The following is a 15,587-nucleotide window of genomic DNA, read 5'->3' on the forward strand; positions in this document are numbered from 1 at the left end:
GGAGAATATTCATGATTTAAATAATAAATTATAGAGTTTAACTATATAAAATGTATGACTAAAAGCTCTAAAGCAGATAACACAGTTTTAGTGAAGCACTAAATAAGTGAGAATATTTTATCTGTGAGGGTAATTTGAGGAGCACTTTACCATATTAAATACTAATAGTTTTACAAAGTTCATGGGCATCTCAGATTATTTTCCTTTCAATTATTTTACAACTACTTTTTATGATACCTAACACATACACAAAAGTATAAAAATATTACAATAATCCACCAGATAGCCATCATACAATACCAATAGTTGTCAATGTATACTGTTTTATTTAATCTTTATTCTTTCTTACTCCTCTCCACCCCAAATTATTTTAATCCAAAGGTTAGACATCCTATCCTTTCATCCGTAAGAAGTTCTTAATTCTAAAGTATTCAATTTTCTAATTTTTTTTCTTATTCTAGTTTTGTGTTGTCTTATTTATGAAATCTTTCCCTATTACAAAATTAATAAGGTAGTCTCTTAAATTCTTTCTAAAGTATAGTTATTTTATTTATTATTGCCATTTTATGTCTATAATGCATTTAGACTTGATTTATAGGGGATTGTTTCTACTATGTCTATATGCATATCAGTTGCCCAGTATAATTTCTTGAAACTCTCATCTTTTTACCATTGCTCTGTAGTTTCATTTTGACAAACATCATATGACCCCATGAACATTTACAAAATTGAATCATGTATCAGACTGTAAAGCAATTCCCCATCTATTTCAGTTGATTGAAGTCACGAAGGTTATAATCTCTGATCCTAAATAATTATACTAAAAATTGAAACAGATAACTAGAAAATTCTCCATATCTTTAGAAGTTAAGGGAACAGAGAATATTTTAGAATGAATGAATAAAAATACTATGAGATCCAGTTAAAGCCAAATTGAAAGCTTATATATTTGCCCCTAAATGTATTTTTTGCTGGGTATAGAATTCTAGGTGGAGTTATTTTCTTTCTGTTACTCAAACATTTCAATTTTTCTAGCTTCCATTATTTTTATTATAAAGTCAGCTGTCTTGTGAACACTCATTTGAAGGAAATCTTTCCTTTTTTTCCACAACTGATTTTAATATTTCTTGTTTTATTTGGATTTTATGTAGATTTTCTATGTTGTGTTTAAGTATAAATTTCTTTTCATTTTTTCCTCTAGGGAATCATAAGACTTCTTCAATTTACAGTTTGTTATCTTTAATCAATTTTGAAAATATTTAGACACTGCTTCTTTTCCTCTCCCTGTCTCATCTCTCAAGTTAAAATAAACCAGCTCTTCTCTTTCTCAATTTTATGTCCTCCCTCTCCGTTAGTAATTCCCATCATTTTTGTCTTTCCATATCTCATTCTAGATAGTTTCTTCTGACATATCTTCAGTTCTTAATTGTCTCTTTGGCTGTTTCTAATCAGCCATTAAATCCATCTATCAAGTTGTAATTTGTTATTGTATTTTCAATTTCTAGATATATTTGAACTATTTTAACATATTCTATTACCGTTATAGTCTCCAACACCCTAACCAAATTTCAAACTTGGTTTACATTTCATGAGCTTAATAATAATTGAGTTTATGTTTGATAATCCATTACTTATAGCTACTGTGTTTCTGCTTTTTGTGGTTCTGTTACTTCTCAGTTGGTTATAGTATCTTATCTTCTTATGTGCCTGGCTATATTTAATCATGTGGTGTGTCAATTGGATTGAAAAATTATTAGACTAATTGGAAGGCTAGAATACTGTTACTGTGTTACAGGGAAAATTTTAATTTGCTTCTTTGAGACACTTGGTAGAATGACCAGTCCTATACCACCCCAATCAATTTTTTTCCCTGTGGATCAAGAATATTCAAATTTGTATTATACTGATTTTGTATAACTAAGGCAAAACTTCTTGACTATTAAGTCAACCAATGGGAAGGCTTTTCTGTAACTTTTTAAATAAATGTGTTATGGACTGAATGTTTGTGTTCCCTCAAAATTAACATGTTAAAATCCTCACCCCTCAATGTGATGGTATCAGGAGGTGGGACATTTTTTAGGTGATTAGGTCATGAGGGTGGGTCCCTCATGAATGACATTAGAGTCCTTATAAAAAAGACCCCAGAGAGCTGTCTATCCCTCTTTCCACGGTGTGGGAACATAGTGAGAAGATAGCCATCTATTAACCAGAAAAAATACTAAATGTGCTGATACCTTAACATGGGGCTTCCCAGCGTCCAGAACCATGAGAAATATGTGTCTGTTGTTTATACCACCTAGTCTATGGCATTTTTTAAAAGCAGTTTGAACTGACTCAGCCAAAGTGTATATCTTGTCTTCCCGTCAGACTGCATATTTTTCAAAAAAACAAGCTTGTTAAATATTTTATGAGCTCAATATGGTGTTATTTACATTAAAAACCTTTATAAGTTCTAATTTAAATCAAGAAAAGTATACTGTGATGAGAATCAACAGAATTACTAATAATTCTGAACTAAATCTTGAAAGGGCCCATAAAAATGATTAACATTGATATATTTACTTTGATTCAAAATTAATGCTTAATGGCTTCAATAATTTCTCCTTACACTGATGATGAGAATCCAAATGTATTAAAATAACTGTTTTATTGATGTCTTTCATTGCCAAAACACAAGGTTAACTCCTGTGAGAGTTTCCAGGCACTTTCTATGTTTATGACTAATTCAGATGACTTTAGAATTATATTTCATCACTAAGTACTTACTGTAGTTGTAGTTGTTTTTGTGGAAGAAGTTGGCTGTGTTGTGGTCCAGGGAAGGACATGAATTATGACTGTTGTAGTGGCTGACAGCTGACTAGGCTTATCCCACCTAATTCATCAGTGACTTCAATAAGTAGCTGGAAAGTCATAGGGCTCTGAACCCCTTGAAATACCTCATACTGGAAATTTTGTGTGACGGCCAGAAAGGAGGATTAACACCTAGTCTCCTAAGTGTGAATTGATTATTTGTATTTCCTGAGAATGATTAGGTAATAAAAAGGAAATAAAATTACATTATGTATTGTGATTTCGACTGTCTTACATTTTTATTTTAAAATATGTTTCATAATATATTTCCAATGGTTACAAAATATCTCACATGAGTATTTTGTAAAATAGCAGAGAAATAACATTTTTGAAATTATATGACTTACCTCCTACAATTGAATAGCTCAGATGTTCCTGTGGAGAATCTTTGCTAAACAGTTGAGCTGAATGAAAGGACTCAACAGTGGAATAAATTTGAGTTTCCAAATGTGGTGGATTGCATACAGGAGGCTCATCATTCATATTCTATAAAACAAAAATATATTCTATTTCAGGTTATGTCTTAAAAATCTTGCTGTACTTCATAAATTATTTGCCTAATTTTAGATGCATTATTTTCAGCTTTATAACTGCTAATGATTTATTGCTCATCACTTACAGTTCATCTTGAATAATATATTTTAGTGTTTCATCACAGATACTTTCTAGTTTGGGGATACTCAGAAGTAAATTCTACATCTTATTTTTAATTTTATGAATGAGGAATTAATTTTTATTTAATAGATGCCTATTTCCTATGTAATAAGGCTAGGACAGATAATCATGACATTTATGAGATTATTGAATTTTAAAGTTAGATTGGAAACTTAGTGGTATAGACATTATTAATCTTTAAATTATTATAGACAGTATTAATAATTTCCCTTTATTCCAGAAGATACATGACATGAAGTCTCTTAAACAATATCTCAGGAGCATTCACCACCTAAAAGGAAGCGTATTTCACTATTAGACAATCTTGTTGTTAGAAACATTCACTTTTAATGATTTCAAGTCCTTTTTTTTTGCATGTAAACGCAGCATAGATTTTGTTCTAAAGAAATTCACATTCTAGTATATCATGTGACTTGTTTCAAACATACCGATGATTTCAGCAATTAGATTGACAGCGGAATTATATTATCTTTGGGAATGTTTACATTATTTGACTCTAGATTATAGAATCAAAGAGCCTAAGCTTTGACTTTGATACAAACTGTCTGATAAGCTACTTGCCACCATCTTTCTTCTTCCCTGTAACGGACATTGCTAGTCTATTAAAGTAACTGTTTCATTGATATCTGTCATTGCCAAAACATACGGATAACTCCGTGAGAGTTCCCAAGCATTTTTTATGTTTACAACTAATTCAGACTATCTAGAATTACGGTTCATTCCTAAATTCTTACAATAGTTATGGCTCCTGAAGAATATACACAGTCTCAGAGTTATTTTCAAAGTAATACTCAACGAAGACACTACTAATTTTTCAGAATGAAATGTAAAATCAATCCAATTTATGCCCTTGATTTAAGAAAATGAAGTGCCTACTTCAACTTATACTTTCCTTACTTTCCTTAGTAATACTTGAGCATCCTTGGGCTCTTCCTCTTTGAACAGTTAGTTTCTTAGAAGCCCACCTGAGAGTGCAGAGCAAATTCCACTGTATTTTTCTCTCCACTGCAGATGCAGCTTGGTTTGCTGGATTGTCTGCTGGAGGCCATAAAGGACAGTTGCTAATATTTAAACTCAATTTCACTATTTAAATACTGATTCCTTTAAAATTAAGGCATTGTTAACCATATTTCCCAGGAAATGACACATCATTAGTCTCCCTCTCTCCTTCCAAGTATAGCTTAAAAAAGGGAAAGATAGCATCTGTTCATTCACAATATTTTTCATAGCTGCTTTAGTAATAGTACATAATAATAAAACAATTAATATTTATTGAATATCTACCTACATTAATACATATACCACACAATAACACCATGAAAAATATCCTGTAATAGAAAGTGAAAACAGACAAAATAAAATGTGCAAGCTCAAACACAAATAGAGAGAACCTGAAGTCAAAACACATAACTCTACAGTCCAAATTTTAACTGGTGTGCTATACTGCCTCTCTACTTAATACTGCTTTCTACTTCACCATTATCAGAGTTTACACTGTTACCAAATGTTCTGCTTCTGTTATGTGCTCTCAGAAAAAGTCTCCTTTATATCTTAAAAGATATTCTGAATAGTGTCACTTCATTGAAAGAGGGGCATTTCTCAGTCTTTTAAATGATTGTTCAGTTTCCATGCTCTCAAAGCTGTTTCACATCTAACAAACTCTGGTTTTTCTGTTTTATGATTTCTTTATGTTTAATTTTTTTTTTTTTTTTGAGACAGAGTCTCACTCTGCCATCCAGGCTGGAGTGCAGTGGTGTGACCATGGCTTACTGCAATCTGGACCACCTGGGCTCAAGTCGTTCTCCCATCTCAGCCTCCCAAGTAGCTGGCAGCATGCTCTATACCCAATCAATTTTAAAAAACTAAAATTTGTAGAGATGAGGTCTATATTGCCCAGGCTTGTCTTGAACTCCTAGGCTGAAGTGATCCACCTCCGTTGGCCTTCCAAAGTCCTGGGATTACAAGCATGAGTCGCCATGCCAGGCCATAAGCTTACATTTTAAATAAAATTCTAAACACTTTCCCCTTGCTGATCAAATATTTTTTAAATTAACCAGCCATACTTGTAACATTTTAAAGTGAAATTTTAGTTATAAAACACTTTCAAATCAAACACAGGTATCTAGGTTTGTCTATGAAAAGAAAAATTATTGCCCAGTATTTAAACTAAACTCTCATTTCTTCCTATTTGTTTCTTTCCATTTCATAAGAAAGGAAAAATATGTACATATATATTTCAAGAAAATGCCTGTATAAAACCAGATGTGGAAAAGATATTGAAGGCACAAACAGAAAAACATTGCAGAAATCAATAATCAATAGCTATAATAAGATGTGGGTGGAAATTACTGTTAAAATACATTTGTTTATTGTATTATCTTATATTCTGATTTTCCCTGGAGTAGAATAAAAATTTCAGAAAAACTGTTTTCCTTTGGGTTAGAGAGAATTTGCTATTAATATGAACACACACTGAAATCCACTCCATTACTTAAATAACTCTCACGTCCTATAATACTGTTATTTAATTTTGTATTATCCTTAAGATGCCCCTCCCTCTTAAGGAAATGATATTTCTTCCATGTAAGGAATGCTTAGTAACCTTTCTAGGAGTAAGCTGAGAGTTCTTCAGATAACTATATTTTTTGGACCTACTGATCTACATAGCTTTCTTGCTTTGCAGAGTGTGAGTGCTAAGTTATAGAGTTTTATGCTATAGATACGTTCATACAAACTACAGATACATTTCACATACAAACACACACACACACATATATATCTAATGGCTGAGATCCTATGATTACAGAATAATCAAGCTGTTTTAAATCCTCAAAACTGGACATTGGCAGGGTTCCTCACCTCTACAACTTTGCATGATGTGTCTCTTCACAGAAAATTCATTTTACCACTCATTTGCCCACTGGACTTACTCATTCCTTCACCTTTTCCTCTCTCCTGAAGTATTCATTTGTGAAATAAAGCAGATATACTGAACTACTAATACTACTGATTGGAATATGCAGCAGGTCTTCCATGAACAATATATTATAAGACAATATATTATTTAAATTTCAATTGTCTCACACTAAAAAGTCATAGAATAGCACTTATGACCTCTAATGGCTTGATTATGGGGGTTCTAGCGTAGTATCATCACTGTAAGCATAGTGTCAATTTATAAAGAAGCAATGAGAATTGTTTAAGAACAAGCACTTTATGGTTATAAGAACAAGAATTATTAAATGGGAAGAGCATGAGTTAGTTAATTGAATTGAAATTATCCATGGATTTTCTTATGAAGCTTGTTACCTTTAAAACTGAATCCATATCAATACTATGCAGCCATAAAGAAGAATGAGTTCATGTCCTTTGCAGGAACATGGTTGAAGCTGGAAGCATCATTCTCAGCAAACTAACATAGGAACAGAAAACCAAACACCGCACATTCTCACTCATAAGTGGAAGTTGAACAATGAGAACACATGGACACAGGGAGGGCAACATCACACGCCCGAGCCTGTTGGGGGTTGGGGGGGCTAGGGGAGCGAGAGCATTGAGACAAATACCTAATGCATGCAGGGTTTAAAATCTAGATGACGAGTGGATAGGTGCAGCAAACCACCCTGGCACATGTATACCTATGTAACAAATCTGCATGTTCTGCACATGTATCCCAGATCTTAAAGTAAAATTTTTTAAAAAAGGGAATCCATATCTTTAATGAGGAATCAACAAGCCTAAAGAGAGTAAGCATTATTAAAAAGGATAAAGTAGAAGGACAATATCCTTAGTGAGTATAATAATATTCGTTATCCAGAAATTGTCAAAAGACTTTCAAAAATATTTATATGATTATTTATGGCTTTTATTTATTGGTGGCTTCCAAGTTCATCTCTTGACCTAATTTTCTAGACCTGTAATTTTTCAACAATCTTTTTGCCATCTCCTCTATATTTTTGGACTCTGAGAACATGTTGGAAGGAAGAATTATTCCTTCTCCAATATCATTATGACTACCCTTTAAGCTAGTTCTTAACATTAAGCACTAGGAGACTCTGCCAGTCTTGAATCCTCAGTTCCCATTTCTGAGGTGCTGTTTCTATGACATGGGCTTTAATATATTATGCCAATGTTGCTTGCCAGAATTAATCTTGGCAAAAGACCATGATTTCTCTAACTGAATCTCCAGTTACAACACAATATAGCACATCCACGTTTCTAAATGTTCCCAATTAAAATATTAGAACTATTGGTCTGTGGAAAATTGTTTGATACAAATCTACAAGAGAGAGAGAAAGTTTTTAGCTATTTATAACCTTTAAATAATTGGAATTATTAAACTTCTGGAATGCTCATACTCTAAAATTTTGTTACATTTATTTATTAAATAAATTTCAATAACTAAAACAAACAGCCAATTTATCTGGGATATTTTTAAAAACTGTTCCCTATTAAAGAGACATAAATTAAGTTGGAATTATCTTTAATAAGAAAAAGATTTTAATTTCTGTATTGTTATATACTTAGCTAATATATTATACATTTTTAAATATTTATTAAAGAAACCAAAGCTATCTATATTTTATTTTTAATACATGATCTCAATATAGAAATTATAATTTTAATATTATTTCTTATTATTTTCTTCTTGCATTCTGGAGATAGGATAGATTTTTTAAGTGTAAAATTTGTGTCAATTATTAGAATACAAATAAGATAAACTTCTGGACAATTTGGACAGCTAAGAGCCATTTCCTTAATATAAATTTCAGTTAAATGAATTATTTTACATGAACGCTTAGTAGAGTTGAGCCAATTTTTAAATAATAACATGCCAAGCGAAAATGGACACTATATACTGTTTGCTATTACCTGAAGGAGGGTAGTAGTCATAAAATTATGAAGCTGAGAACTCACTCTGCAAGAGGAAAGTAAGAGCCTGAGTACTTGTAAATAAGGCATTCTCTTGCAGAAATGTTTAGAGAAAGTGTGAAATTTTTATATTTCTTTTAACATGATAGACAGTTATTTGTATGAATATTCAATGCCTATTGGGGGTTCATGGACAGACAAACAGGTTTATATATTACCCTTAGTGTTTTAAAATTTTGGCTCTCATAGATTAACAGACTAAATGGTGATAATTTTGGCAAAACTCTTTGAATGTAATATTCTATAAATTATATTACATATAAGTTGGTGACAAGTTCATGAAGCTTTTATTTTGGTCTCTACCTATATATTTACCAACTATAAAAAACAAAATGGAATTCTGAATTTCCCAAATCAGGTAAAATTAGTAAATTTTTCAGTTCATAAAATAATCAACTCTATTAAAGAATCTCACTGTATTTCATGTTATTTTTAACTATATTTGACACCAAATCTCTCAAGAACAAACCCATCTTCAAATGTGAAGAATACTTACTATATATTATAAAGATTACAAACACCATCACTTTTAAATTTATACAATACTAATTTAACATAAAATGATTCTTTACATTTTTGTTAACATAAACTAGTTTGCTTTTATTCTTGTTGAAATTAGTACTTAACCTGGGCAACTTCTATTATTTACAGTGATATAATGTTTTAGTTTTAACTAGAACTTTAATAATCAACATTAGAGTATGCCATAGCGGTTAAGCTCAAGGAGTTTGTTTCTATTTGATAAGATAGAACTGGAAACATGAAACAAAAACGATGTGCTAACTCCAGTGTTACTGTTAAAGTTCAGAAGACACAGTGATAACAGTTAAGAAACAGTTTATAGAAGACTAACAGGCAGTAACATTCAGAATTTACCATAATGTCATATAAATATTTTTGGCTTGTTTACATTTTGAATAATCAGACAAAAATTCTCTAAATTTAGGATTTTATTATATATATTTAAAAATAAATGTATAAGCCATTATTAATTAATGTAAACTCAAATTATTTTATTGACTTTGAAAGGTAGAAGAAATTTAGAGATTTTCTAGATTAGAAGTCATCAACTGGGCTGTACATCAAAATTTGTGGGGCCTTTAAAATGTAGCTACTCAAATCTTAACTATTCATGTCTTCTTCCCTATTTAATTTATATATATATGGAACTAAAGCCTCATCATTTCAAAACACAGTTCAAGTAAAAGTGTTTAACACCAAAAGGCGTTTCTTTTTCTATTGGCATTTATGCTTTTGCACCTGTAGCTGTCTCTATCTTTTGGTACGTATATGCATATTTATATATGTATTTATATACATATCTATGTATATATAATATTATACCTGTTATATTTAGGTATATATTTGTATATCTATATTTATATATGTTTATACTTGTACAAATATATATTTGCACATATATAATTACATATATTTATAATCGTGTGTGTGTTTGTGGTTATAGACACATATGCACATGAGGGGATACTTGGGGATACCAGAGCATAAAATGCTAATTATAATACCTAATTATGTATGTTTAAGACATGGACAGATGAGTGAGGGAGATGTCTTCATGTAAAGGCAAGATAAGTGCTTTTTCTTGTTTCAAAACAAATGGAGAACAATATAGTACATTTATTATTCCTATAAATGAGAATAGCTGTGATCTCTGGTGAAGAGCATACTCTGTGACTTGGAAAGGAAGGAGATCCCAGAAGGCATTTTTGGTACAGTGGTGCACAATCAATCAAACCAAAGAATTCCCAAGTTCCTAAACTGGACATTGGTAGCTTGATTGTTTTTGTTTGTCAATGTAACATGCTCTCTGCTAAATAAAAAAATCATAAATGTAATCGCAGTATTACATTTGTAAGTAATTGTACATATAATCCATAATATAAAACTACCAAACATTAATAATGTGTTTGTACACTTTTTAAATATTGTTCTAGAAATTGTGGGAAAACATAATACCATATGGCAATATGTCTAACTCCAAAAAATGAACATTATAGTTGTGAGATAAAACATTTATATATTAAATCTTTAAAAAATTCTGTATGCTAAATCAATCACCTGAGAGTGTTTTAGGTTTTTAGAGCACAGAAAGAGACAGCAGTTAGAAAAGAATTCTTACAGGAAGTAGAGGAGAAAATACAGTACAGAAATTCATCTTCAGCTAGAAAAAAATTACAATTTATTATTATTTTCTTTTTTGCCATTATAAATGGTCAGATAAGAAAACCTCAAATCCTTTCAAAAATTATGTTTCCATTTTAATTTTACTAAATAAATGTATGTCCAATTGTTGGTTAATGTAAGATCCAATTTATTTCACATAATTTGAGTATAAGAATTAAGTTAGAGATTAGTCTGTTTTTGAATTGTCTGTTCCAGAATTATCTGAAATTCTTAAAAATTAAAAATACCTAATTTTCCAAGGATTCTAATTTTGTAGGCCTATGATGGGTTCCAACAATTTCTGTTTTGAGCAAGCTACTCATCTGATTGTGATGTGCAGAATGTGTAAGATCACTGTTTCAATGAATTGTCCAATAAATACTAAATATGGTTGAGGATTTGATGAAAAATTCCAAGTCTTTGCAGTAGAGTTCAAGATGCAAAATGATAGTTACAGATTCCTAAAATGTTCCAATTCCCCAATTAGATTTAGGTTCAAGTATTTCTATTTGTTATATGAACTTTGTATTTGCCTTTTGTAAAGTGACAGATTTTCCACTATAAACTGTATTTTGTGAGTGCTTTATGGCTTTATTTTTTCTAACACTAGTATGATGGATTATGTATGATTCATTATATGATACAAGTCATGATTCAATTTTGCAGACTAATAATCTAAATCAACAAGAGCTATACTAGCACTACTACTATTCATATGATACATTTCATTGAGTTTACATGAAATTTCAGTAGAGCTGTAAAGTTAACGATTTATTGTCCGCATAAATGTAGCTCTTAGATTTGGGTTCCCATTTTTACTAAGTTAATGAGAACTAAATTTTTTATCTGCGTGGAGAAAATGTTTAGGTGGCAATTAAAAAAAATCATCTGGAACATGCGCTTAAATATCTCTTTAAGTTTTATATATCAATATTTTTTTAAAACCTTTAAAAATCTCAAATGGAAACTCAGAAAAACATGATGATGCTCATCAGATAAAAAGTTAAGAACAGTGGGGGATAATTCTTTAAAATTTGTAATCAAAATACATAATTTTTACTCTAAAATATTCTTAAGTGCGTTGACTGTGTGCACCAGTGATTTCCAAAGAGCAGGTTGTAGTACTATCACCAGCATACATTAATTGAATGAAAGTAATCAAAAAGTCTATTTGAGAATTTTGTTTTTGATGGTAATCAGATCAGCAGCTCTGAAGGGCTGTACTGCTACAAATAAAAAGGTTCTAGTAAAATATTATGATTAATGTGTACCATGGGATCTATAGAATTGACATTTTATGGTCAGGAGAAATTTTTTTTAAAAAAGAGAAATTGCAACTCAAATTTGCAAGTAAATGATAAAACTGGCCAGTGACTTTATCAGCACTTCAATCCTGAGGTTCAGATTTGAAGCAGCAGGAAATAAGATAGCTGAAAACCAGGTACAAAAGGCTGCTTGAAGAAGATTACAGTAGTTTTTAATGGGTAATGAGCCCTGTCTCAAAACAGAAGCAAAAGGTAAGTTCTTTTTGGAAGAAGGCATCCTCAGCTTTCACTCCAGGATTCCCATTAGATCACTCATATGTGAATCAAAACCAAAGATCTCATAGAGGAAAATGACCCATTAAATGAGCATTTGCTAATACAGCCAGTAGGAGTTTAGGCCTCTAAGTGCTTCATATATTTAAATTATTAAGAGATAAATATAAAGTGTTTAAAAAGTAAAACATAGACTATCAGGAAAAAGAAGCAAAGACTATAAAAAATGATCCAAGCATATTTAAAAAGAATTAAACGTAACTTTTAGAAATTAAAAAAAATGGTTTAAAACAATGAATAGGTTAACAGTAGACAAAACGTAGTCGATGAAATAATCAGTAAATTGGAATGTAAATGTAAAGAAATTGCACAGAATGTAGTACAAAGAAATACAAATAAAGAGGAATGATTAAGAGAAATGGAGAATCAAATGAGAGTGTCTCATATCTAATTGGTATCCAAGTTCTAGAGAATAAAAAGGAAGGAAAATATGCACCATTTGAAAGCATGGTGACCATATATTTTCAAGAACAGATAAATTCACATATATAGAAAGCATAATGTACTTCAAACAGTATATCTAAAAATGAATCTATCAGAACACATCATAAAACTAACACTAAAGAAGAAAAGATGTTAACAGAAGTAGTATTTGCCGACTTCTCAATGATTGCTACTATTAATTTGTGTTAATTACATTATCTTTCAAGAATATTTAAAATAAAATATTAAATGAAATAAAAAAGAGTTTATCATTACTATTCCCACATTCTAAAGGCATTTATAAATATTTATTTGAAGAAAAGAAAAAATCATCACAGAAGGAATGTCTGAACTTGAAGAAAGAAGGAAAAGCAAAGAAGTGGGGCAATGTGTTGGTACATCTAAACCTACAACTTTCCATTTCTGCTTAAAATCAATGATAATAAAAATAAGTAAATAGTGTTATTAAAAATACAAACACTGAATACATATTAATCATATGTATATCAAAGAGACAAAGGTAATTTAAGTATTTTAAGATTTTGAAGTTGACTGGGAGAAGCTTTCAATATTTAGTACGAATGTTTGTTAAGCTTTTATACCAGTTTTCCAATTATTGTCTTTCAGCTTTAAATCACTCTTTTTGCCTTGATTGTGAAGCTGGAGTGCTCTAACTTTTGAACATTTCTCTTTACTAAGTGATATAGTTCTAGGCTTTGTGAATAGAGAGTTCTGGAGTTACAGTACCAAGCAAAACCCTCAGAAGTATGCCTCTCTTCCAAGTTTCAATCCTCCTTTTATTATTTTTTATTTTTGTCATGGGATTCCAGTAATCCTCAGACAGTGTCCTACCCACTATCTGCTCACATTCTCCACCTAGCAGCTTCCAAGCAACTCCAGGAAATGACTTCCACTGGTAGTTCCACCTACACCCTCAGGCATGCTCTCAGAGCAGCATTGGTGGGCTGCTTTCCCATCAGTGGACTACTTTCCTGGCAATGCCAGCTGTGTCTTCAGGGTACTCTGTCTGTTTCTAAAGACCAGTTCAGGCCAGAGCCTTCTGGCAGCTTTCTTTACCATGAAGAGGCTGCATGTTCTTGTAGTAGCTACATCCTCCTCCAGAGGTAATATTCTCAGCCTCAGAGAGGGAGGCCCTCTCCTAATCTTACAGTGTTTTCACTGTCCTTTCTTCCTGAGCCTAGAGTTAGTAGCTATTCTTTTATACTTGCTATTTTTGAAACACTTAGTGTTTTCTTATAGCACCTTTGTAATTCATTACAATTTATTAGTTAAAACATCTTTATATTGAGTTTTAAACTGTATATTATTTTATGGTCTGCGTTTTTAAATTGGCAAGTTGCATTTATTTACATTCATTGTGGTGGTTGATATATTTGAATTGACTTGTATAATCTTACTTGTACTTTTTAAGTAAAATTCTTTATATTAAATTTTACCTGTTCAAATGAGTAAGGTTTTTGTCTATTTAATGAATTCATTCTGACTGGTTCAAGAAAAATTTTCAAGGTGACCACTAACTGATAAAAATATAATGTATTATTCTGAAACCAGTGGAGGGAAAGAATAGAAAAGAATTCAGTGTACCAAAAGAGAAAAAAATTAAGAAAAGGAACAATAGACAAAGTTTTTAGAAAGTACAGCTAAGATCATAAAAGTCAAATTCGGATATATCAACAACTAAAATAAATGTAAATGTACGCAGTTGCCAATGAAAAAAATACAGACCACAATATTGAGTTTAAACATTAGACTACAGAGTTACACAAAGAGCGTTTTACATAGCAAAAATATGAGGACACAGAGAGGTTGAAAGTAAAATGAAAAAGGACAGATAGTTGATAAATACAAATGGCAGGCCAGTATTAGGTATAAACAGCATTCATATATTAAAGAATAAAAGAAATGTGGTCATTAAAGCAAATATGCATAGTTTAAACAAATAAGCATAGGAAGAGATGCTCAACATGTTATTAGTCACTAAGGAAATGCAAATTAAAACCATAACGAGATACCACTACACATTTATCAGAATGACTAAAATAAAAATAGTGACAACACCAAATGCAGGTGAGGATGTGGTGGAACTGAATCACTCACACTTTGTTGATGGGTATGTAAAATGGTCTAGCTGCTGGACCAAGCTTGATAGTATAGTCTTCTTATTTTTAGTTTATTTTGTTTTTGGTTTTCTAGTTTCTTGAGGTAGTAATTTAGGTTATTAATTTGAAACTTTACTCATTTTTAGCATTTACTGATATAAATTTACTTTCATGTACTGTTTTAGTTGCATCCCATACTCTGATAGTGAATTCGTATTTACACATTGAAGCATATTGATGATAAATGTTTTAAAATCCTCCTCAGACAATTCCAAAATCAGATTCAACTCAGTGCTAAAGTCAGTTGATTGCTTTTTCTCATTCCATTTGTGATTTTCTTACTTCTTTGTAATACAGGTGATTTTCTATTGTATCTTGAATATTTTCTCTTATATAAAAAGATTCTGGGTCCTAATTAAATTGTTTTGCAGCAACAGCTGTCATGTTTAGGTTTAACACACGGGCATTGCTCACTTTTGTGAGCTGTGTTCCCAATGACTAGTTTAATTATCAGATGCTTTGCAATGTTATTTCAGTCTAGTTTGTATATCTGGTGCCACTGGGACTTTTGCTGTTCACTTTGGTCCTTTCTGAGGTGGTAAAAAGGATTTTCCCACTGGGTGTCGCTCCATCAAGAGGTGGATCTGAAGTCCACAGGGACAAAGTGTCTTTCAAGCCTGATGACTCTGTCTGCAACTTTCTAGTTACTTCCACTTGCCCCAGTGTTTACTGGTGGAAGGGAGGAGTCACAGGCATACATAGATAAAGATGCTTCTTTGACTAGGCACTTTTTATGTTGAAAAGC

General features: G+C 31.3%; 1 long non-coding RNA gene across 1 annotated transcript in view; it reads right to left on the reverse strand.

The window, feature by feature from the left end:
- Positions 1–3,310: 3,310 nt before the first annotated feature.
- LOC105369146 (uncharacterized) overlaps positions 3,311–15,587 on the reverse strand; it is a 46,073-nt gene continuing 33,796 nt past the window's right edge. Inside the window, exon 5 of the long non-coding RNA NR_136264.1 lies at positions 3,311–3,336. This is a non-coding gene — a long non-coding RNA (uncharacterized LOC105369146). The remainder of the gene's footprint in view (positions 3,337–15,587) is intronic.

The sequence above is a fragment of the Homo sapiens genome, chromosome 7 (genome assembly GCF_000001405.40).
Source record: "Homo sapiens chromosome 7, GRCh38.p14 Primary Assembly".
In the NCBI taxonomy this organism is placed as follows: domain Eukaryota; kingdom Metazoa; phylum Chordata; class Mammalia; order Primates; family Hominidae; genus Homo; species Homo sapiens.